Below are 24,606 nucleotides of genomic sequence, written 5' to 3'. Positions count from 1 at the left end.
TGGAAGGCTGAGGCAGGAGAATCGCTTGAATCTGGGAGGTGGAGGTTGCAGTGAGCCAAGATCGCGCCACTGCACTCCAGCCTGGGCGACAGAGTGAGACTCTATCTCAAAAATAAATAAATAAATAAATAGATAACACTTAAGGTGCATTATAGGCATTGAGCCTCAGGAATGGGGCCCGAGTTGAGACCTATGTGACGAGTGACGCACATTACCTTCTTTGGCTTTGACAGGATGCCTTGGCCACTGAGTAACCTCACTCAGACACGATGTCTCATATCAGGCCTGTTGTGAATGACAGGCCCAGCACAAGAGCCCTTTTGCCACACTGATAGGCCCTGACAGTCAGGGACAGCTCCCCTGCCCTCTCCCACGTTGGGGCCTCAGGAGGCCCTAACTCCCCGGGGACCGAGGGGGCCTGCAGTGACAGCTGCCTGAGACAGCTCTGCTCAGACGCTGAGCTGGATGCCTTGTTTCAGCCTCCCCTTTATTTCCTGTCTTTTTTCAAATGTAAAAATAGGAAAGCACAAAGTACCCTCATTCCCACGACCCCAAATTACCATTGTTAGAATTTTTCATGCACCGCTCAGTTCTGTGTATGTCACTATAGTCTGTCAATTTGTTGACCCCCAATGAATGCGGCCTCTTAGTATTCTTGTCTCGCCTCATGTATTTCCCCTTGAGCTTGGGCTGGCCCCATGACATGCTTAACTACAGAACGTGGCAGAAGTGACATTCCGTGCCAGGTCCCAGCCTAAGCCATCAGGAGGCCTAGCAGCTCCTGCTTTTGTGTTCTCAGAAGCCCTGAGCAGCCACATCAGAAGTCTGGCTAGCATAGGCCGGGCATGGTGGCTCACACCTGTAATCCTAGCACTGTGGGAGGCCAAGGCCGGAGGATCACTTGAGCCCAGGAGTTTGACACCATACTGGGCAACATAGGGAGACCCCTGTCTCTACAAATAATTTTTAAAATTATTATTTTTTTTACAAAAATTAGCCGGGTGTGGTGGTGTCCTCCTGTAAGCCCAGCTACTTGGGAAGCTGAGGCATGAGAATCGCTTAAACACAGGAGGCAGAGGTTGCAGTGAGCTGAGATCGCTCCACTGTACTCCAGCCTGGGTGACAGAATGAGACTCTGTCTCAAAAAAAAAAAACAAACAAAAAAAAAAACGGCCGGGCGCGGTGGCTCACACCTGTAATCCCAGCACTTTGGGAAGCCGATGCGGGCTGATCACGAGGTCAGGAGATCGAGACCATGCTGGCTAATATGGTGAAACCTCGTCTTTACTAAAAATACAAAAAATTAGCTGGGCATGGTGGCGGGCGCCTGTAGCCCCAGCTACTCGAGAGGCTGAGGCAGGAGAATGGCATGAACCTGGGAGGCAGAGCTTGCAGTGAGCCGAGATTGTGCCACTGCATTCCAGCCTGGGCGACAGAGCAAGACTCTGTCTCAAAAAAAAAAAAAAAAAAAGTTACCCAGGTGTGGTGGCATGCACCTGTAGACCCAACTACTTTGGAGGCTGAGGTGGGAGGATCACTTGAGCCTAGGAAGTTGAAGCTGCAGAGAGCTGTGATCGTGTCACTGCACCCCAGTCTAAACGACAGAGTAAGACCCTGTGTCTAAAACAAACAAACAAACAAACAAACAAAAAAAGAAGTCTGGCTACCTTAGACTTACCCTAGAGATCATGTCAGGAGACCACAGGGAGAGGCATGTGGAGAAGAAGAGGGAGGCCCGGCTTCAGCTATCTGTGAACACAGGTACACGGGTGGTCATCAGCCAGCCCAGCAGAAGGACTGCCCAGAGAGTTCAGCCAAAAGGGAACTGGGCATGGTGGCTCACGACTGTAATCCCAGCACTTTGGGAGGCCGAGGCGGGTGGATCACTTGAGATCAGGAGTTTGAGACCAGCCTGGCCAACATGATAAAACTTCATCACTATTAATAAATATATATATACAAAAATTAGCTGGGCGTGGTGGTGCACGTCTGTAATCCCAGCTACTCAGGAGGCTGAGGCAGGAGAATCACTTGAACCTGGGTGGCAGAGGTTTACAGTGAGCCGAGATTGCACCACTGCACTCCAGCCTGGGTGACAGAGTGAGACTCCGTCTCAAAAAAATAAAACAACAACAACAACAAAAAAAAAAAAAAAAACAAGGCCAGGTGTTGTGGCTCACACCTGTAATCCCAGCACTTTGGGGAGGCCGAGGTGGGCAGATCACCTGAGGTCAGGAGATTGAGACCAGCGCCAACATGATGAAACCCTGTCTCTACTAAAAATACAAAAATTAGCTGGGCATGGTGGCATGCGCCTGTAATCCCAGCTACTTGGGAGGCTGAGACAGGACAATTGCTTGAATCTCGGAGGCGGAGATTGCAGTGAGCCGAGATTGTGCCACTGCACTCCAGCCTGGGCAACAAGAGTGAAACTCTGTTTCAAAAAAAAGGGAAGAATTGGGAGCAAATACGATGGTGGTGGTTTCAAGCCATGAAGTTTCAGGTGCTTCCTCAGAGAGCAGCTGATTACAAAAACCTGAGTGGCTCAGGTCCTAGAGGAGCACCCAGTCCCCTCGTCTCAGTACCTGCCCCTTCTCCTCAGACCCCAAGTGTCCTTGAGCAAGGAGAGGAAAAGATGCATTAAAGGACAGTCTGGAGAAAGCAGGTAATATTTATTCATTTATTAATGTGTATCTCATTTCAGTTCCTAAAAGGATATGAGGTTTACCAAAAGTGCATATAATGTGAAGTTTTCCTTTTTTAGAGACAGGGTCTTGCTCTGTCACCCAGGCTAGAGTGCAGTGGCACGATCACAGCTCACTGCAGCCTCAACCTCCTAGGCTCAAGCGATCCTCCCACCTCAACTTCCTGAGTAGCTGGGACTACAGGCATGCACCACCATACTCGGCCAAGTTTTTTAAATTTTTTTTTGTAGAGATGAGGTCTTGCTCTGTTGACCAGGTTTGTCTTGAACTCCTGGCCTCAAGCAACCCTCCCACCTCACCCTCCTAAAGGGCTTTGATTATAGGCAGGAGACACGTCGCCCAGCCGATGTTTTCTTAAAGCTAGAAGGATGAGGGGGAGGAAAAAGGCTCAGTAAAGGCAGGAAGGTCAAGGACTACCTGCCAGGTGGAGGTCTGTTTTGATGCCACCTCTCTTCATATGTGCTCGGGAGGTGGCCTGAAAATGTGGCCCTGAAAACCCTTGTGACCCGGAGGGAGAAAGTGATCAAGCTTTCCCAGGAAAGGGACAGGGGTGTCATCCTCACCCAGGGAAGTGTTCCCCTCTAGAAATACAGTTAGAGAGAGTGTGGGGGTGGGTGAACTGTGTGATTCTGGACTTTGGGTGGTGGTGTGGAGGAAGGCTTTGTGGAGGAAGGACTAGGAGGTGTGGCACCAGGCTGTGGGGGGAAGGAGAACCAAGTGGAGCGAATCAAGAGGCCCAGGCTCGGGACAGCCAGCTTTTGGGTAAGCAGGAGCACGTGGTTCCCTCCCATCGATTTCCAGGCTGCAGCCCCAGGCTTGGAGGCAGGCGGGTTCCAGCCACACGTGGGCCAGGCTGGGGTGCTAGGGTAGGGGAGGCTGCACCCTCCAGATCCCCTCTTTCACCTTCTCCAGCTCCAGGGGGAGAGGAACTTTTTCCAGAAGACAGGGCAGCCCTAGACACAGGCTCCTCACCCCACGTCGCTGCCACCTGCTCCAGCTCCGTGGGCTTGGGGCTGTGGGTGGGGGGTTCTCTCCTTCCATCCCCAGCTCTAATCCCTTGCAGCTGTTGTCCTTCTGGGGAAGACAGTTGTGTCAGAGTGGAGGGGAGTAGTTATTTTGAGTTGATCACTAGCTTCCAACTGGGACACATGGATGGCCTTGTCGGGCCCAGCAGTGGGGTGAGCCTGACGAGGGCAGCCCACATGGCCACAGGGGTTGCTGGGGAGCAGGAGGCCACCCTGGCTGCAATGGGGGCTGCAGAGGATAGAGACGGGCCAGGGAGGCCAGAGGCCAGAGGTGTGAAATGTCGGAAATAGATCTGGTGTCCTGAGCATGGGATGGTAAAGTGGGCACAGCTCCCCGCACTGGCCCCTGTGCCACTGGCAACAGTGGAGAAGGAAAAGAGGTCCCTGAGACTGAGGCTGGGCTGCTGGGGGAGGGTAGTGTCTCTCCTCGTAAGGGGCTGGCTAGGCAAGGGTGGTGATTGTCCCCCTCTTCCAGGCAGGCCCTGCCCAACACCTTCTTCCATCCAGAAGGCAGGCTTAGTGGAGGCCTTACACCTCTGATGGCGCAGGATCATTGCAGGGCAATGAACCAATGGATGTGCCCTTCTGAGTGGGAAAAACCAAGTGGCTCAGTGGCTCAGCCCTTCCCTTCAGGGCGTGATGACTTGGAATAAACCTGGCTCCAGTGCTTACCAACCTGAGCTCTGAGACCTGAGGATGTGACATGAACCTCACTGTGCTTTCCTGTTTCACAGAAATGGGAATAACAGCCACGTGCACCTTCCTAGGGCATGGCGGGGATTCACTGATAGCAGATGGAACAGCCTTGAGGCAGGAGTCAGTCCACAGTGAGTGTTGTCATGGTAACTGTAGTTGTCATTGTCTTAGGGTCCTCATGTGGTCCTTGTGGTTGGCCTCCTTCTTGGGCCCCCAACTGTGTCTCAGCTGCATAGAAGGGTTTTATGGCGAGGAGAGGAGAAATGAAGAAATCTTCACCAGGTGGGAAGACTGAGGCTCCTAGAAACGTGGGGAGGAGAGAAGAGTCTCCATGGACTGTCTGCCCCGGGAGGGCAGGGCCGCATCTGTTTCTTCCCTGCTGGATCCCCTGCCCCCAGGACAGTGCCTGGCACAGGGATGAAAGAATGAGTGGATTTCTGAGTGAATCACCCTGGGGTGTGGACCTGCCCTGGGCTGCTGGCTGAAGACGATTGCATGATGATCTCCTGGGCTGGCCAGTGCCAGGCCACGGCTGTTGGATTCCTCTCTCTGGAATTTGAAGAGGAAAACAGAGATGAAGAAGAGGAGAGCCGCGGGGGCTCTGGAGCAGAAGTGAGAAAGAGTCTGACGAGCAGAGGGTGGAGTAGGCCTGTCCAAGGGGAGGCCACACACAGGGCGAGAGTGGCAGCTCCTGCCCCTCTCAGTCTCCCTTCCAGCTCCCCAGCACCTGGAGTGGCCAGAGGAGGGAGTGGGAGAGGAGGGAGTTGCACCTGCTCTCATCCTGGAGCCCCCCCACCGTGAGTGTCCATTCCTTGTTGTTCACTGGTCCCCTCAGTGAGCAAACAGTGAGCCACTGCTGTGTACTGGCTGTGCTGCTAGGATCTGGGGCTGAGCCATGGGCACTGCAGAGTAGCTTTCCTGTTGAGTGGGAGTCCAGAGAGGGGCTTGTAACCCCACCTTCATGGGGGCAGGTGAGAGGAAAGAGGGAGCGCTTCTCGGAGGAAGCCATGTCTACTGTCTGCACTGAAAGCTGAGGGATGGGTACAAGCTGACCAGGGAAAGGAGGTGAAACACATTTCTAGGCAAAAGAAACACCATGGACAAAGGCCTGGAGGGGCCGGGTGCTGTAGCTCGTGCCTTTAATCCCAACACTTTGGGAGGCCAAGGCAGGTGGATCACTTTAGCTCAGGAGTTCGAGACCAGCCTGGGCAACATGGTGAAACCCCATCTCTACAAAAAATAAAATAATTAGCTGGATGTGGTGGCATGCCTGTAGTCCCAGCTATTTGGGAGGCTGAGGCGGGAAGATCACTGGAGCCTGGGAGGTCAAGGCTGCATAAGCAGTGATCACGCCACTGCACTCCAGCCTTGGTGACAGAGCAAGACCCTGTCTCAAAAAAAAAAAAAAAAAAAAAAAAAAAAAAAAAAAAAAGAAAAGAAAAGAAAGAAAAAAGAAACAAAAAGGCCTGGACCTGGAGAGGCTGGAGACAGCCTGGCCAGTTTGAGGGAACTGCAAGAAGTTCCTGTGGCTGGAGCAACGGGTGGGTGGGGGCTGGTGAGAGATCGGGTGAAACGGGGCAATGAATGGTGTCCCCACTCTGGGGTCAGAGCCTGCTTGTGCCAGAGGGTCCAACCCGGCAGCACAGGGGGCGGATGCACCTGAGTGAGTTGTCTTCAGGGCAGAGCCAAGGGCCAGGCCCAGCTGGGCCCCATCTCCAGCCCTTCCACTAGCTGGCCGTGCAGCCCCTGGCCGCTCAGTGCTGCCCCCTGTGGCGATTTCCCCATCTGCACCGGGAAGGGGCTGCCTTGCTGTTCTCTGAAGCCCTGTTCTTGGCTCAGAAGGGCCCTTTGGGCACTGTGAGGGCTGCCGGGGGATGGGGGTGGCAGGATGGAGGGGGCCATGCCAAGTAGTCTGAGAGAAGGGGGTAGGTAGCCCCCAAGGGGGCACCAAGCTTGGCCTTTGTAAGGAAATCCCCTTTTCCAGGGGCCGGTGCAGTCCAGTCGGCTGCTGTCAGCATCACTCTAGACCCTTCCATAGGCTTGGGAGAGATGAATTCCACATGGCTCCTGGCCTGGGTGGCTTTGCTCTTCCCCAGGGAGACCCTCCCCACCCATGGAGGAGGACATGGGCCCCCTGCCTGGCTTTTCAGGGGAGGCTGACTCATGGCCTTGGCGGCCCCCGGCTCAGCCTTTTCCTCCAGCTTTGGGGGAGTGGGGCAGGGGTGAGCTCTTTTCTGGCATTCCCATTCCTCACTTCCTGCCTGCTTCCAGCCTTGGCAGCGGGGCAGGGGTGACATTTATGCCTGCAGCTTTGCAGCTCAGGTCCTGGGAGCCCCTTCCTGTACACTCTCACCTGTTCCTCACAGATGCACCTGCTGGACAGGTGGTACTGTCCTTTTTGACAGATGAGGTGCTGAGGTTGCAGAGAGTCGAAGCCTGGCCTGCTGGTACGAAGCTTGGTAGTGTCAGGCTTGCAGGGGTGAGGTTGGGGAGGGATGCGGCTGCTCTCCTGTTCTCCTAGGGAGGGAAGGTTGCAGGCTGGGCTCTGCCTGAGGACCTGGGGTTGGGATCCTTTCACCCTGCAAGGGAGGGATTGGGTGGTCCTGAACTTCAGAGCTGCCTCTGATAGGCATCCTTGGGAACATTCCTTAAGGGACAAGCCCTTCTATCTTTGGAGCCTAGCCAGGCAGGGGGGCGTGGTATGTGTGGGTGGCTGTCACCAGGGAGGTAGGAAGCACATTGGTGAAAGCCATGTGGGGTGGGGGGGCAGACAGCCCCATATCTGAATCCCAATTCTAGCTCTTCCTCACTGTGTAACTTGGGAAACATCCTTCAGTTCCCAGAGCCTTTGTCTGTAAATGAATCATTGTGCCTCCATCTCGGGGTGGGAGAAAGGATTAATTAAACAACATGATCTATTTGTTAATTCAGACAAATGTTCACTGGGAACCCACTGGATGTCAGGCCCTGGGACATGAAATAAGTGAATGGAGGTTCCCTCATTGAACTTCTAGATGGGGGATGAGCGGCTAGGCACGATCTATGATATGGTAGGCTGGAAGGTGATAGGGCAATGGAAAGAGCCAGGAGGGAGCATATGTTGGGGAGTGGGTTGAGCAGGCCCCTTTGAGAAGGTAATGAGCAACTCCAACATCTCAGAGAATAGCATTCTAAGTAGAAAAAACAGCATTTGCAAAGTCCCTGGGGGTGGGCATGTGCCAGCTGATTCAAGAAACAGAGAAAAAGTCCATTGCAGTGGCACATGCCTGTAGTCCCTGCTACTCAGGAGGCTGAGGTGGGAGGATCACTTGAGCCCGGGAATTCGAGGCTGCAGTGAGCTGTGATTGTGCCACTGCACTCCAGTAAGACTCTGTCTCTTAAAAACAAAAACAAAAACAAACAGCATGGATGAACGTGGTGGCTCATGCCTGTAATCCCAGCACTTCGGGAGGCTGAGGTGGGAGGATTGGTTGAGCTCAGGAGTTCAAGACCAGCCTGGGCAACATAGTGAGACACCATCTTTAGAAAAAAACACAAACAACGAAACATAGTGGGTGAGGGGAGCGTAGGTGAGAAGGAGGTGGGGTGGGCATCGCCTCCTGTGTGACCAGTTCTATAAGGAACTCACTCTGCAGTAGCTGCTGAGAGACCAGGGCCGGTTTGGACCCAGGCACAGGAAGTCTAACCCCACTACTACATGCTGCGGGGGGCGTGTCCTCTCTCATTTCCTGCCGTCAGATGGCCTCTTCCTCAGGTCCTAAGGCTCAGAGGCCTCCCCAGCCATGGCCTGTGACCTCACCCGGACAGAGTCCCCCCAGCTGTCTGCCACCACCCCCAACTTGGGGAGGGCTCTGTGTCAGCCCTGGCCAGACTCGGGGAGCCTTACAAAGAGTCCTTTCACCAGAGGTCATCCTGGGGGGACCAGGAGGGGAGTGGTGCCCTTCTGCCTGTGGGCATAAAGACCCCCTTTCTCTTCTGCAGCACCGGCTCCTTCTGGCAGGGGAAGCAACCGAGTGCAGGGAGATTATCATCCTTCTCTTTCAGTGTATGGGCAAGATGGTCCAGACAACGGTGGAGACTACAGGCTACCAGCCTCGGACTGCCTGCGGGGTGGCCCAACCAGCAGTGGCGCTTCTGCCTCAGGGAGTGCCCCACAGCAAACAGCCCAGCACCCATGGGTCTAGGGGTGCCTGCCTAGGATCCTGGGACAGGAGATAAGCCTCCCCAGCCGGGGTGTGAAGGGGTTGGGCTTGTAATGTCAGAGACCTCCCCAGCTCTGCTCTTCTGGGGTTCCACATCGGTGGCCTCTTCTTGGCTCTGTTAGGGATTCCTCCTGGCCAGTCTTTACCTGGATTTTTAAATTATTATTTATTTATTTATTTATTTTTAGAAACAGGGTCTCTCTCTGTTGCCCACGCTGGAGTACAATGATCATAGCTTACTGCAACCTCCACCTCCCGGGCTCAAGCGATCCTTCTACCTCACCCTCCCGAGAAGCTGGGACTACAGGTGTGCACCAGCGCACACAGTTAATTTTTTTTTTCTTTTTTCTTTTTGGTAGGGATGAGGCTTGCTATGTTGCCCAGGCTGGACCCGAACTCCTGGCCTCAAGTGATCTTCCTGCCTCAGCCTCCCAAAGCACCAAGGTTGCAGACATGAGTCACAGAGCCTGGCCTTTACTTGGATTTCTTACTTCTAACCTGGGCCAAGTCCCTCACACTGCAGTGTGACATTCTATGCTGGACAGGGACCTGCCCTTGGAGGGAAGCAGGCAGGAAACGGGGAGCACAGAGGGACAACCCAGTGGCTATTGAGAGGGGAAGCTCATGGTCCGCCGAGTTGCCTGGGACAGAGTGTGTGCCTATGACAGGGGTGAGAGGAGGGAGAGGGCTTCCCAGGCAGAGCAGGCAGCATGTGCAGAGGCCCTGGGGAGGCCAGGCCCTACCACAGACATGCAGGAGTGATGAGGATGCTTGGCTGGGTGGGGAGGGGCCAACAGGTCTTGCTCCAGAGCAGGGGCTTTATCCAGAAAGCACCAAGCCCTAACCCAAGGTCCCATGTCGGCCCTTAGGAGGTGATTTTTGGGGAAGATGGGAGCCAGGAGCAGGGGCAGGAAGAAAGCAGCCAGCGGGGACCTGGGGAAGATGAGGAGGTGGATGAGCCTGGCCAGTAATGGGTCCAAGGGTTGAGTCAACTGACCAGCTCAGGATGAACCCTGGGTTCTGACTTGAGCAATGGAGGGGGCTGGAGGAGACACCAATGGGGCTGGGAGCAATTGGGGAGGAGCAGGGTGGGTGGGGGGTAGTCTGAGGAGCTGGTGGAACAACTTGGGGAGATGCCCGCAGGATGGGTATAAGGCTACGAGTGCTGGAGAGCCTGGGGAGAGAACGGGATGAGGGTGGGAGGAAAGGAGGAGGAAAAGTAAGGGGAGTTGGAGGAAAGGAGAGAGAGAAGAGAGCAAGAAAGAAAAGGAGAGGTTGGGCGCAGTGGCTCATGTCTGTAATCCCAGCACTTTGGGAGGCTGAGGTGGGCAGATCACGAGGTCAGGAGTTTGAGACCAGCCTGCCCAACATAATGAAACCTCGTCTCTACTAAAACTACAAAACTTAGCCGGGCATGGTGGCGCACACCTGTAATCGCAGCTACTCGGAAGGCTAAGGCAGGAGAATCGCCTGAACCTGGGAGGCGGAGGTTGCAGTGAGCCGAGATTATGCCATTGAACTCCAGCCTGGGAGACGCAGCAAGACTCTGTCTCAAAAAAAAAAAAAAAAAAAAAAAAAGAAGCAATGGAGAAAGTGAAGGAAAGTGAGGCCAGGCGTAGTGGCTCAAGCCTGTAATCCCAGCACTTTGGGAGGCCAAGGCAGGCAGATTGCAAGGTCAGGAGTTTGAGACCAGCTTGGCTGATGTGGTGAAACCCTGTCTCTACTAAAAAATACAAAAATAAGCTGGGTGTGGCGGCGGCAGTCTGTAGTTCCAGCTACTCGGGAGGCTGAGGCAGGAAAATCGCTTGAACCTGGAAGGCGGAGGTTGCAGTGAGCCAAGATTGCACCATTGCACTCCAGCCTGGGCGACAGAGCGAGACGCAAGACTCTGTCTCCAAACAAACAAACAAACAAACAAACAAACAAACAAAAACCAAAGGGGAAAGTGTGGTGAAAGTGAGAACCCTGGAGCTCTACACTGTGGCCCCTGCTTTCTGCGTGAGAGGAGAAGATGCTAGAACCACAGGAGAATGGCATGATTGACCTACCTGATTATGAGCATGTAGAAGATGAAACTTTTCCTCCATTCCCGCCTCCAATCTCTCCAGAGAGACAAGATGTTGAAGGGGCTGAACCTGATGAAGAGTCAGGAAGCAGAGTCCCGTACCTCCAAAGAGAACAGTTAAAAGAAGTATACCCAAGCTGGATGCTCAGATATTAATTTCAGAGAGAGGACTTCCAGCCTTAAGGCATGTATTTGATAACGCAAAATTCAAAGGTAAAGGTCATGAGGCTGAAGATTTGAAGACTCTAATCAGACACATGGAGCACTGGGCACACAGGCTCTTCCCTAAACTGCAGTTTGAGGATTTTATTGACAGAGTTGAGTACCTGGGAAATGAAAAGGAAGTTCAGGCTTGTTTAAAACAAATCTCCCTATTTTACCTGAAGATTTTATTAGCAAGAATGATGAAGTTGTGGGAAATAATGGACATGATGTAACCGCTACTGAATTAGATCCCTTTCTGACAAACTCATCTGAAAGTGAGATATTTGCTTCTGAGTCAAGTAGAAGCCTAACAGAAGAGCAACAACAAAAAATTGAGAGAAATAAACAACTGGCTTTAGAAAGAAGGCAGGCAAAGCTGCTAAGTAATAGTCCCTAGGAAATGATACATTAATGAATGCACCCAGGGCATAGAGAGTTGAGGTTAATGCTGATGAGGATCAAAAGGAGGAATCAATTGGATTAAGTGAAAACATGCTAGACAATCCATGCAATGATGCTCCTGCTAATACTTTAAATGAAGCAGAGGAATTAAAATTAGAGGACACACTGCTGGATCAGTCTTTCACAAATGTGCAACAGTAACTTAAAGCTTCATCCAGAAATGTTACTGAATGCTACATGAGTTTCCATTAAGATAAGATGTATCTGTTAGCTCACCATCCTGCAAGCTTGGTGTTACTATGTTTTTTTGGGGGGGTTTTTTGTTTTTTTGTTTTTTTGAGATGGAGTTTCCCTCTTGTTACCCAGGCTGGAGTGAAATGGTACCATCTCTGCTCACTGCAGCCTCCACCTCCCTGGTTCAAGCGATTCTCCTGTATCAGTCTCCTGAGTAGCTAGGATTACAGGCGTCTGCCACCACGCCTGGCTAATTTTTTATATTTTTAATAGAGATAGGGTTTCACTATGTTGGCCAGGCTGGTCTCAAACTCCTGACCTCAGGTGACCCACCTGCCTCAGCCTCCCAAAGTGCCGGGATTACAGGCGTGAACCACCGTGCCTGGCCATATTTTTTCTTCTTTGAGTGAAAATCCTTAGGTAGTAAAACTTTTACAGATTCTTGTTTAAAATCTGGTATTTGTTTATAATTATTCTTGTCACTTAAGTTAGATCTATTTATTCTCTTTAGTGTTTGTTTTTATATAGATATGACTTTATAAAATGATTAGGGCCAGGCGTGGTGGATCACACCTGTAATCCCAGCACTTTGGGAGGCCGAGGCGGGCAGATCACTAGGTTAGGAGATCGAGACCATCCTGGCTAACATGGTGAAATCCCGTCTCTACTAAAAATACAAAAAATTAGCCGGGCCCGGTGGTGGGTGTGGTGGCGGGTGCCTGTAGTCCCAGCTACTCAAGAGGCTGAGGCAGGAGAATGGTGTGAACCCAGGAGGCAGAGCTTGCAGCGAGCCGAGATCGCGCCACTGCACTTCAGACTGGGTGACAGAGCGAGACTCTGTCCCCCCTCCAAAAAATAAAAAATAAAAATAAAATGATTACTAGGTAATAAGCAGTTTCTGCTGATGATCTATCATTGAATGCCTTGTTTTCACTAAGTTGGAGGTTTTGTTTGTTTGTTTGTTTGTTTAGATGGAGTCTCACTCTGTTGCCCAGGCTGGAGTGCAGTGGTGAAATCTCGGCTCACTGCAACCTCTGCCTCCGGGTTGAAGCGATTCTCCTGCCTCAGCCTCTCAAGTAGCTGGGATTATAGGCACGAGCCACCACGCCCAGCTACTTTTTTTTTTTTGTATTTTTTTTATTATTATACTTTAAGTTCTAGGGTACATGTGCACAACGTGCAGATTTGTTACATATGTATACGTGTGCCATGTTGGTGTGCTGCACCCATTAACTCGTCATTTACATTAGGTATATCTCCTAATGCTATCCCTCCCCGCTACCCAACCCCACAACAGGCCCTGGTGTGTGATGTTCCCCATCTTGTGTCCAAGTGTTCTCATTGTTCAATTCCCACCTATGAGTGAGAACATGCGGTGTTTGGTTTTCTGTCCTTGTGATAGTTTGCTCAGAATGATGGTTTCCAGGTTCATCCCTGTCCCTACAAAGGACATGAACTCATCTTTTTTATAGCTGCATAGTATTCCATGGTGTATATGCGCCACATTTTCTTAATCCAGTCTACCATTGATGGACATTTGGGTTGGTTCCAAGTCTTTGCTATTGTGAATAGTGCTGCATTAAACATACATGTGCATGTGTCTTTATAGCAGCATGATTTATAATCCTTTGGGTATATACCCAGTAATGGGATGGCTGGGTCAAATGGTATTTTTGGTTCTAGATCCTTGGGGAATCGCCACACTGTCTTCCACAATGGTTGAACTAGTTTACAGTCCCACCAACAGTGTAAAAGTGTTCCTATTTCTCCACATCCTCTCCAGCAGTTGTCGTTTCCTGAGTTTTTAGTGATCGTCATTCTAACTGGTGTGAGATGGTATCTCATTGTGGTTTTGATTTGCATTTCTCTGATGGCCAGTGATGATGAGCATTTTTTCATGTGTCTATTGGCTGCATAAATGTCTTCTTTTGAGAAGTGTCTGTTCATATACTTTGCCCAGTTTTTGATGGGGTTGTTTGACTTTTTTATTGTAAATTTGTTTAAGTTATTTGTAGATTCTGGATGTTTGCCCTTTGTCAGATGGGTAGATTGCAAAAATTTTCTCCCATTCTGTAGGTTGCCTGTTCACTCTGATGGTAGTTTCTTTTGCTGTGCAGAAGCTCTTTAGTTTCATTAGATCCCATCTGTCAATTTTGGCTTTTGTTGCCATTGCTTTTGGTGTTTTAGTCCTGAAGTCCTTGCCCATGCCTATGGCCTGAATGGTATTGCCTAGGTTTTCTTCTAGGGTTTTTATGGTTTTAGGTCTAACATTTAAGTCTTTAATCCATCTTGAATTAATTTTTGTATAAGGTGTAAGGACAGGATCCAGTTTCAGCTTTCTACTTATGGCTTGCCAGTTTTCCCAGCACCATTTATTAAATAGGGAATCCTTTCCCCATTGCTTGTTTTTGTCAGGTTTGTCAAAGATCAGATGGTTGTAGATGTGTGGTATTATTTCTGAGGCCTCTGTTCTGTTCCATTGGTCTGTATCTCTGTTTTGGTACCAGTACCATGCTGTTTTGGTTACTGTAGCCTTGTAGTATAGTTTGAAGTCAGGTAGCGTGATGCCTCCAGCTTTGGTCTTTTGGCTTAGGATTGTCTTGGCAATGCACACGCCCAGCTAATTTTTGTATTTTTAGTAGACACGGGGTTTCACCATGTTGGCTAGGCTAGTCTCGAACTCCTGACCTCAGGTGAGCCACCCGCCTCGGTCTCCCAAAGTGCTAGGATTACAGGCATGAGGCACTGTGCCCAGTGTTTTGGTTTTTACTGCTGCTTGCAGAGCAGGGTTAACCCATGGACAGTGTGCCCAGAGTAGCCTGGGTGAAGTTTTAAGATGTACATGTATATTAAATATTAATGGCTGGCACGGTGGCTCACACCTGTAATCCCAGCACTTTAGGAGGCTGAGGCGGTTGGATCACGAAGTCAGGAGATCGAGACCATCCTGGGTAACACGGTGAAACCTCGTCTCTACTAAAAATACAAAAAATTAGCTGGGCGTGGTGGTGGGCGCCTGTAATCCCAGCTACTCAGGAAGCTGAGGCAGGAGAATGGCATGAACCCGGGAGGCGGAGCTTGCAGTGAGCCGAGATCGTGCCAATGTACTCCAGCCTGGGCAACAGGGTGAGACTCCGTCTCAAAAAAAAAAGTGGGGATGAGCTACAGCCAGGAGACCTGGTTGGACACAGCAGGAAGTTCTCGATTAAACAGCAGAGCATGGGCTGGGTGCCGTGGCTCACGCCTGTACTCACACTCATCCTAGCACTTTGGGAGGTTGAGGCAGGAGGATTGCTTGAGCCCATGAGTTTAAGACCAGCTTGGGCAACATAATGAGATCCTGTCTCTACAAAAATAAAATAAAATAAGCAGCAGAACAGTCCCATAGGGAAGGGGCCTCCTCCTAGGAGCCCTGGCCTTACCCGAGGCAAGGGACTGGCCACCATGGCCTCTCAAAGGGCACAGGCTGCATGGTGTTTCTCGGGGTTGATGGAATCCCATGGGGAAGGTGGGTTTTCTGCTCTGCACCTCAGTTTCCCTCCATAAGGCAGAGTTGTGGTTAGTGGCCTGGGTTCAATGACAGGGCAGGGTGGGGGCTCTGTAGCCCAAGCCTGGCTGGCGATGTCGCTGCGTGTCCATGTCCAGGTGGGCCCTGGGGCCTCCTCCTCCCCACCCCCAGCCTTTGTTCCAGGAAAGGCAGGAAAAGGCAGCTGGAGGAGAGGGGTGGAGGGCTGGAGCCCGCGGAATGTTTCCAGGGAAAAAGTGATCCTTCCACAGAACAGCCAGCCAGTGCCACCTCCCCTACTCCACCCCACTCCCACCCTTCCCCCTCCCGCCGCCGCCTCCATTTCTTCTTCCCTCACTTTCTGGCAGAAGGAGCCCAGCAGCTGGAAAAACCATGCTCTGCTCCCAGCTCCCATCCTTAGCACTGCCCAACCCCAGGTGCCTTGCAGGCGGGGCAGGGGTGGGTGAGGGTGTATGTGTGCAAGTGTATGAGTGTGTGTGTGTGAATGTGTGTGAATGTGTGAGTGTGTTTGAGAGTGTGTGTATGAGTGTGTGTGCATGCGTGAGAGTGAGTAAATGTGTGTGAGTGAATGTGTGTGTGGTGTGTGAGTGCATGTGTGTGCATGTGTGCGTGGATGTGTGTGAGAATGTGTGCATATGTGAGCATGTTTGTGCACGTGCAGTGTAGTTTGTGTGTGCAGTTGCGAGTGTGTGCATGGGTGTGACAGTATGAGCGTGCATGTGTGAACGTTTGTGTGTACGTGTGTTCGAGTGAGGGTGCATGTGTTCGAGTGTGTGTGCATGTGTGTTCGAGTGTGCACTTGTGTGTTCAAGTGTGATTATGCGTGTGTGAATGTTAGTGTGTGTATGTGTACCTGTGTGTGTTCAAATGCGAGGGTACGTGTGTGTTTGAGTGTGAATGTGTGTTAGGGTATGCATGTGTACGTGTTTGAGTGTGAATGTGTGTTAGGGTGAGTATGCATGTGCACGTGGTGTGAGTGTGCATGTGTTTGAGTGTGCATGTGTGTATGAGTGCGTGTGTGCGAGTGTGTGTTCAAGTGTGATTGTGCATTTGAGTGAATGTGTTAGAGTGTGAGTGTACGTGTGTGTTCGTTTGTGTTCGAGTGTGAGTGTGCATGTGGGTGTTTGAGTGTGAATGTGTGTTCGAGTGTGAGTATCCATGTGTAAGTGGGAGTGTGTTTGAGTGTGAATGTGTGTTCGAGTGTGAGTGTGCATGTTTGAGTATGAGTGTCCGTGTGTGTTTGTGAATGTGTGTTCGAGTGTGAGTGCATTTGAGTGTGAGTGTACATGTTTGTGAGTGTGCGTGTGAGTGTACATGTGTTTGAGTGTGAGTGTGCATGTGTGTTTGAGTGTGAGTGTGCGTGTGTGAGTGTGCATGTGCACGCATGGCTGCCGCTGACGTAACCCAGGTGCATGTGAGGACATGGGAGTAGCGTGGCCATCACCTGTAGTCGTGGATGCTGGAGAGAAGCAGGGTGTATAAACGGGGAAAGAAACCGGCCTGAATCGACCCCCTGGAGCCTCAGTGTTGCCACCTGCATGTGGGGTGGCACTGGCCCTGCTTCCCTAGGGCTGATGTGTCACAGAGAAGCCAACGTGGAAAGGGGCAGGAACATGTCTCGGTTCTCTTAGCTACCAATTGCTCTCATAGCAACCTTCGAGGCAGGTGCTGCTATTGTCCCCGCATCCCACGTGGGGAGCCCGAGGCTCAGGGGTGTAAAGTGGCTTGCAGCTGGCAAGTAGCTGACTTGAGACCAGAACCCAGGTCTGCCTCACTTCAGGGCATCTCTCCCAACCCTGTGCTGTTGCCCCACGTCACACCGAGGCCTGGCCCCCTCATCCTCCCTCCAGGCTCTGGGACTCAGTTTCTGTCCCCTGGGCAACTAGCTGCTCCTCCTCTGCCTGTAGGACCTGAGGCCCTTCCTTGCCTCAGGGATGTTCAGCAGGTTGTCCCAGGCCAAAGAATCCTATGAAGTCACCTGGTCCAACCCCTTGTCATTCATTTGGTGAGCCTGAGGCCCCAGGCCTAGTGCTTAAGGTTGCAAAGCACATCCGGCCAGAGCTGGGGCTCCAGCCCCCTGCCTGGTGGTCCAGGAATGGGCTGTTTTTCTCTCTTCCTTCTCCCAGGCAGATTGGCTCGTGGAGGGGCTATCAGCACAGACACACCCCTCTTCCTCTCTCTCCTCCGCCGTCCCCAAGCCCCACCGCCATTTCCCTGCCCTCCTTAAATGAGGGGCTCAGCTGCAAGGAGAAGCTGAGGTTTCCGGAGATCCCTCCCTGCCCCTGGGCATGGATCCCTGTTCGGATTCATGGATCCCACAGGCTGCTCAGAGGGACTCAGGCCTTCCCCAGCGCTCATCTCTGCCCGCTCCTCCCAGTATAAACACCACGGTTAATAATGTATATTTGCCCAGGGGCACGCAGCCTCTCAACAGCAAGCCCATAACTTCCAACCAGCGCCACACGGAAGGTGTCAGAGGACCACCGGGACATTAGTGCCTGCGCCTGACACCGGCCTCACGGGCCAGCACGCCCCAGGTGGGCCAGCCTCACTGCCTCACACGGCCACAGCAGGTCCACCTACATTTATGGTGTATGGTTGTAAAAATGGGTGACCCAGAAAAACTCCTTTTAGACTATTTTGAAACTTCTAATGTTGAGGCTCCTGCATACACCATCTTCTATCGTGTAAACCTAGGTACCTGAAACCAGCCCCCTGGTTGGTCTGGCTGGAGGCCAACCCAGCACCACTAGGGGTCGGGGGGATGCTGGGCCAGCAGGAAGTGGCAAGAACAGTGGTGCCCAAGGGCCAGGTGCGATGGCTAACGCCTGTAATCTCAGCACTTTGGGAGGCTGAGGCGGGAGGATCACGAGGTCAGGAGTTCGAGACCAGCCTGGCCAACAGAGCGAAACCCATCTCTACTAAAAATACAACAAAAAAAAAAAAAAAAAAAAAAAAATTCAGCCAGATGTGGTGGCAGGTGCCTGTAATTCCAGCTACTCAGGAGGCTGAGGCAGAAAAATCGCTTGAACCTGGGAGGTGGAGGTTGCAGTGAGCCGAGATTGCTCCATTGCACTCCAGCCTGGCAACAGTGCGAGACTCGGTGCAAGCCCATATGACAACCGGCTAGCACCACACAGATTGTGTCAGAGGATGCTGGGCGGTTGCTGCCCCTGCCCGACACCGGCCTCACAGGCCAGCACGCCCCAGGTGGGCCGGCCTTACCACCTCGTGTGGCCACAGCAGGGCTATCTACCTTTGCAGTGTATGGTTGTAAAAATGGGTGACCCAGAAAAAAGCCTTTTAAACTATTTTGAAACTTCTAATATTGAGGCTCCTGCATCCACATAGTCTTCTATGGTGTAAACCCTAAAGCTGTCACTGGGGTGGGAAACGGAGCTGAGCGGTCCCAGGGCTGAGCCAGTCTGGGGAGGCTTCCAGGAGGAGGGGTTCTGGGGAGCTGTGTGCCAGTCTAGAGGTGACTTTTTTAGGGATGATGCCTAAGGCAGGGAGGGGAGTGGAAGGTGGCTGGGGCGGGGGAAAGATCCCAAACCAGAACATCTGCCCAGAGGCCCACCGCCTTCCCAGAGCCTGCTGGACACCCAGCCAGGCTGGCCAGCACAACCAAGGGCTGGGAGGATGGGACGCAGCCACAAGATGAGGCCCCAGGCTTGCTGGGAAGGTACTAGGGTGGAAGGGGGCCTCCACCAGCCACAGAGTCAGCCAATACTGTAACTGCCCAAGGGGTCCACCTTGCCTGCTGCCTAGACAGAGCTGACTGCAATAGAGAAAGAGTAATTCACGCAGAGCCAGCTGTGCGGGAGATCAGGGTTTTATTATTACTCAAATCAGTCTCCCCGAGCATTAGGGAAGCAGAGTTCTTAAGGATAACTTGGTGGGTGGGGGGAAGCCAGTGAGCCAGGAGTGCTGATTCGTCAGGGATGAAATCATAGCAATCAGATCAGATGAGCCAGTTTATTGATCTGGGTGGTGCCAATTGATCCATCAAGTGCAGAGTCTGCAAAATATCTCAAGCACTGAGCAGATTAGGGAAGGTCAGAATCTTGTCAGAATCTCCAGCTGCGTGACTCCTAAACCATAATTTCTAATCTTGTGGCTAATGTTAGTCCTACAAAGGCAATCTAGTCCCCAGGCAAGAAGGAGGTCTGTTTTGGGAAAGTGCTGTTACCGTCTTTGTTTAAACTATAAACTATGAACTAACTTTCTCCCAAAGTTAGTTCAGCCTACGCCCAGAAATGAACAAGGACAGCTTGGAGATTAGAAGCAAGATGGAGTCAGTTAAGTTAGATCTGTTTCACTGTCTCAGTCATAATTTTGCAAAGGCAGTTTCAATAGCAGCCCAGAAGTTGTTGTCCTCCCTGGACTCAGCTTAGCTCATCAGACGCTAAACTCTGTGCTTTCTGGTGCCCAGTCTGAGCTCTGCGGACACCATACCTGCCCTGGGGAGTTGACACTTGGTGGGGACATGGACACTGCCCCCATCTCCCCGGGTTGGTGCCGCCTTCCCTTAGCCACTGCAGCTGTGAGCTGCCAGGAGCTAGACGCTCTCCAGAGGACGCCTTTGGCTGATGGGAGCCATGCTACTGGACCTGCCCAGGAGGTTATGAGCGATGGTTGAAGGCCAGCAGTGTGGGTTGGGTGGGGGTGTGGGGTGGGGGTGTAGAGCAACCCAGTCCCCTTGCCTCTTGATTTCACAGCCTCTTTGGTGCCATTGGTGCCCTGAAACTCCCCTTCATATCAGGCTGGGGCAAGATTTCTCCCAAAATCACATCTTGGCCCAGCCCTGCCCTGCTTCTCACTCTCACAGGTTTCTTGAGATCTCAGTAAAACTCCTACACAAGATTTCCCATCTCTGGCTCTGCTTCTGGGGAGCTTGATGCCCACAGACTTGGCAATCTCTCCCACTGAATGTACATCAGAGATGGGAGGGAGTGGCCGGGCGCGGTGGCTCACGCCTGTAATCCCAGCACTTTGGGAGGCCAAGGCGGGTGGATCACGAGGTCAGGAGATCGAGACCATCCTGGCTAACATGGTGAAACCCTGTCTCTACTAAAAATACAAAAAAAATTAGCTGGGCATGGTGGCGGGCGTCTGTAGTCCCAGCTACTCAGGAGGCTGAGGCACCAGGATGGCGTGAACCCGGGAGGCGGAGCTTGCAGTGAGCCAAAATCACGCCATTACACTCCAGCCTGGGTAACTGAGCAAGACTCGGTCTCAAAAAAAAAAGAGATGCGGTGGGGCGGGGGAGTGTGGCCCAATCTTGAGGGCACAGGAAAGCCTCCCAGAAAAGGTGACATTTGAATTGGGGTCTTGAAGGTTCAGTAAGAATTGCCCAGTTGGCTGGTCCAAGTCCAGTGGTGTTTACAACTAATCGATCACAACCAGTAGCAGATTTCTTTTTCCTTCTCTACTCTCACTGCTTCACCTGACCAGCTTTAAAAAAAAAAAAAAAAAAAAAAAAAAAAAGGGCCAGGTGCGGTGGTTCACGCCTGTAATCCCAGCACTTTGGGAGGCTGAGGCGGGTGGATCACCTGAGGTTGGGAGTTCAAGACCAGTCTGACCAACATGAAGAAAGCCCATCTCTACTAAAAATACAAAATTAGCTGGGCTTGGTGGCTCATGCCTGTAATCCCAGCTACTCGGGAGGCTGAGGCAGGAGAATCGCTTGAACCCCAAAGGCGGAGGTTGCGGTGAGCCGAGATCGCGCCATTGCACTCCAGCCTGGGCAACAAAAGCAAAACTCCAGCTCAAAAAAAAAAAAAAAAAAAAAAAAAAGGAATTGCTCAGTTGAAAGTTGCCTGCTGCATTAGACAAAGCTGCCTGCTGTAATTGCTGAAGATGAGGGGAAGGAAGGTTAGGAAAAGGGGCAGCCTGAGCAAAGGGCCTGAGGCAGGGAGAGGCAGGGCACAGACAGGAAGAGATTGGACCTGTGGCTGGAGGGCAGGGATATGGAAGGGAGGCAGGAGATGAGATTAGAAAGGAATTTAGGCTGGGCACTGTGGCTCAAGCCAGTAATCCCAGCACTTTGGGAGGCTGAGGTGGGTGGATCACTTAAGGCCAAGAGTTGAGATGAGCTTGGTCAACATAGTGAAACCCTGTCTCTACTAAAAAATACAAAAATTAGACGGGGCATGGTGGCTCACACCTGTAATCCCAGCACTTTGGGAGGCTGAGGTGGGTGGATCACTTGAGGTCAGGAGTTTGAGACCAGCCTGGCCAACATGGCGAAACCCCATCTCTACTAAAAATACAAAAATCTGCCAGGTGTGTGTCAGCCTGTAGTCCTAGCTACTTGGGAGGCTAAGGCAGGAGAATTGCTTGAACCAGGGAGGTGGAGGTTGCAGTGAGCCAAGATCATGCCACTGCACTCCAGCCTGGGTGACAGAGCGAGACTCTGTCTCAAAAATAAGGAAAGAAAGGAATTTAGTGCCAGCACAGAGGGAGAATGCCTGTCACCATGTAAGCCAGGGGCTGTGAGTTCACACCACCCACCACCCCTCTGTCTTGCACACACAGACAGTCACGGCTGATGGACCGTCACACTCTTTCTTGTAGAGCCCAGACAGAGCCTCAGAATCCTCAACGTTTCACCTTGGCAGGTTCTATCTACTGATGGAATTACCACATGAGGTGACACCCATTGACTATCCCTGCCCCGGGCCAAGCCCAGGCTGGACCTGTGAGATGTGGGCCGAGTCCTGAGGCCTCCTGAGTACAGTAGGGGTCTCCCTGGGGAAGCAACCATTGTGGCCCATAAATAGGTTAGGCGGTCAGGAAACGGGAAATCCTGAAACACAATAAGCCCTGCTGCGCAGGGGTTTCCTCCGGGCCGAGGGCCGGACTGAGGATGCTTCTTGGGCCAAAAGCCTTGCTGAAGCAAGACTCCTGTTTGCTGGCCCCAGGCACTGGCTCTTCCCGTGGCTCTCAGGGGGACTCAAGGCCCAGCCTCACCCCACCCAGCCCAGCGAGGGCAGCTCAGGACAGCTCAGGATGAGCCAGGACAGGCAGTGTTCCACTGAGGGGACAGCGATTATCCGCCCGGCTCCCAGCTGAGCCCTGGCACTAGGCGCTGGTGGGGGCTGCCGCCGTAGCCAGGTGGGGGCCAGGGAATGGATGAACCCCCTCCAGGGTCAGTGAGTGCTTCTGCCAGGCCTTCCAAGCCCAGGGGCCTGCACACCTCTAATATCTGTGTCTGTGGACCTGTCTCCAACCAGGGCTCCCCAAGGGCACAGTAAGCCCCAAGCTGACCCTCCCTGGACCCCAACAACAGAGACATAATGTAGTCCCTCTATAGAGAACCAGGTAGCCTGTAAAACTATGCTCTAGAAAAATTCTATTAAGTAGGCAAGTAATAAAACACAAAATCCTATAGGATCTCAATGCTGTTAAAATGCAAACAGCAGGCCGGGCGCGGTGGCTCACGCCTATAATCCCAGCACTTTGGGAGGCCGAGGTGGGCAGATCACAAGGTCAGGAGTTCAAGACCAGCCTGGCCAATATGGTGAAACCCTGACTGTACTAAAAAATACCAAAAAAATTAGCCGGGCTTGGTGGCACATGCCTGTAATCCCAGCTATTCAGGAGGCTGAGGCAGAAGAATTGCTTGAATCTGGGAGGCAGAGGTTGCAATGAGCCGAGATGACGCCACTGCATTCCAGCCTGGATGACAGAGTGAGACTCCGTCTCAAAAAAAGAAAAAAATAATACAAACAGCAATCTGTGTTCATGTGTGTCCACATGCATGTGCATGGAAAAGGCAGGAAGGAGAAGCGTCACATGTCAAGGTGGTGGGGATTTTTATTTTCTTCTTTGTGCTTTTCTGGACTTCCTAAATTTTCTACAGTGAACTTTGTAATCATTTAAAAAAAGGGAAAAAAAAAAAGGCTGAGTGTGGTGAGGTGCGCCTGTAGTCCTGGCTACTTGGGAGGCTGAGGTGGGAGGATCACTTGAGCCCAGGAGATAGAGGCTGCAGTGAGCTACGATCATGCTACTGCATTCCAGCCTGAGCAACAGAGCAAGAGCGTCTCGTAAAAAAAAAAAAAAAAAAATTAAGTTTTTAAAGAAAAAAAACAACACCCAGATCCTACAGTACCTGTTTTCTTTTAAGTACCATGTTTACAAAGAATTTTTAAAGCAGCGGGGAAATAAATACTGATAGAAACTGTAACACTGAGGGGAAAACAGGATGCGACATTGTATACATGGTATGTAAAGCAGGGGATGCTCAGGACAGGAGGGGACAGGAAGGAAGCGCACAAGATTAGAGCTGCTGACTTTAGTGGGGCTATCGCCACAGGCCCCGTCATCTATAGTATAGGACAATGCCCACACCCTTGCATACACTGCATACCACTAGTTTTTAACAGTTTTGGCAGTCCAGTGCATGGAACATAGTGTCTTGTAATTTGCACGTCCTTGATCACTGAGCCTCGTGTTTCTTCTCAATGCTTCATTATGAAAATTTTCAGCATATAGAAAAGTGGAAAGAATTGTACAATGGGCCAGGCGCAGTGGCTCACACCTATAATCTCAGCACTTTGGGAGGCTGAGGCAGGTGGATCATGTGAGCCCACAAGTTCGAGACCAGCATGGGCAATGTGGCAAAGCCCTGTCTCTACTAAAAACACAAAAAATTAGCCAGGAGTGGTGGCGTGTGCCTGTAGTCCCAGCTACTAGGGAGGCTGCGGTAGGAGAATCATCTGAGCCCGGGGAGTCAAGGCTGCAGTGAGCCGTGATCACACCATTGCACTCCAGCCTGGGCGATGGGAGTGAGACTCTGTCTCAAAAAAAAAAAAAAAATTGTACAGTGAACACCCATCTACCCACCATATGGGTTCTGCAATTAATATTTTACTAGACTTGCTTTAGCACATATCTATCTATCCATCCATGACTACTTTTTAAATGTATATTTCACTGCAAATTACAGACATCAGACACTTCATCCCTAAACACTTGGGCATGCGTATTATTCACTAGAATTGAATATTTGTTCATAGTTCTTCCCCCACCCCAGGTAAAATTTACATATGATAATATAACAATTTTTTTTCTTTTTTCTTTTTTCTTTTTTTTGAGACGGGCTCTCACTATGTTGCCCAGGTTGGTCTCGAACTCTTGGCCTCAAACAATCCTCCCACCTTGGCTTCCCAAAGTGCTGGGATTACAGGCATGAGTTACCACACCTCGTCTGGTAATGTAACAATCTTAAGTGTGTTATTTGATTAGTGATGACAAATGCATACACCTGTGTAACCCAGTGCCCTATCATGATATAGAACGTGACCCCCAGAAAACTGCATCCCCATCACCTGCTACCTAGTCAATATCTAACCCTCCACTCTCCTGAGGCAAGCAGGAATGCCTGATTGCTCTTATGTTTTCATCATAGATTAGTTTTGCCTATTCTGAAACTTCCTATAAATGGAATCATGCCACTTGTGCCTGCTTGTGTCTGGCTTCTTTCATTCAACATTATATATGTGGGGTTTATCCATTTGTGATAGTCATTGCAATAGTTAACTAC

At 51.4% G+C, this 24,606-nt stretch overlaps 1 pseudogene, besides 3 other annotated features; it reads left to right on the top strand.

Annotated features, from left to right (window-relative positions):
* Positions 4,580-5,080: an enhancer, noted in NCBI's record as "H3K4me1 hESC enhancer chr16:58132411-58132911 (GRCh37/hg19 assembly coordinates)". NCBI's record gives its function as "activates a minimal SCP1, AML or CMV promoter by ChIP-STARR-seq in naive H9 embryonic stem cells {active_cell/tissue: H9 hESC(naive)}" and the evidence as "EXISTENCE:reporter gene assay evidence [ECO:0000049][PMID:30033119]".
* Positions 5,081-5,581: an enhancer, noted in NCBI's record as "H3K4me1 hESC enhancer chr16:58131910-58132410 (GRCh37/hg19 assembly coordinates)". NCBI's record gives its function as "activates a minimal SCP1, AML or CMV promoter by ChIP-STARR-seq in naive H9 embryonic stem cells {active_cell/tissue: H9 hESC(naive)}" and the evidence as "EXISTENCE:reporter gene assay evidence [ECO:0000049][PMID:30033119]".
* TIPINP2 (TIPIN pseudogene 2) lies at positions 10,597-12,471 on the top strand (annotated as a pseudogene).
* Positions 17,113-17,803: an enhancer, noted in NCBI's record as "H3K4me1 hESC enhancer chr16:58119688-58120378 (GRCh37/hg19 assembly coordinates)". NCBI's record gives its function as "activates a minimal SCP1, AML or CMV promoter by ChIP-STARR-seq in primed H9 embryonic stem cells {active_cell/tissue: H9 hESC(primed)}" and the evidence as "EXISTENCE:reporter gene assay evidence [ECO:0000049][PMID:30033119]".

The sequence above is a fragment of the Homo sapiens genome, chromosome 16 (genome assembly GCF_000001405.40).
Source record: "Homo sapiens chromosome 16, GRCh38.p14 Primary Assembly".
NCBI lineage: Eukaryota > Metazoa > Chordata > Mammalia > Primates > Hominidae > Homo > Homo sapiens.
The sequence above is the reverse complement of the archived record's forward strand: the minus strand, read 5'-3'. Positions and strand labels throughout refer to the sequence as shown.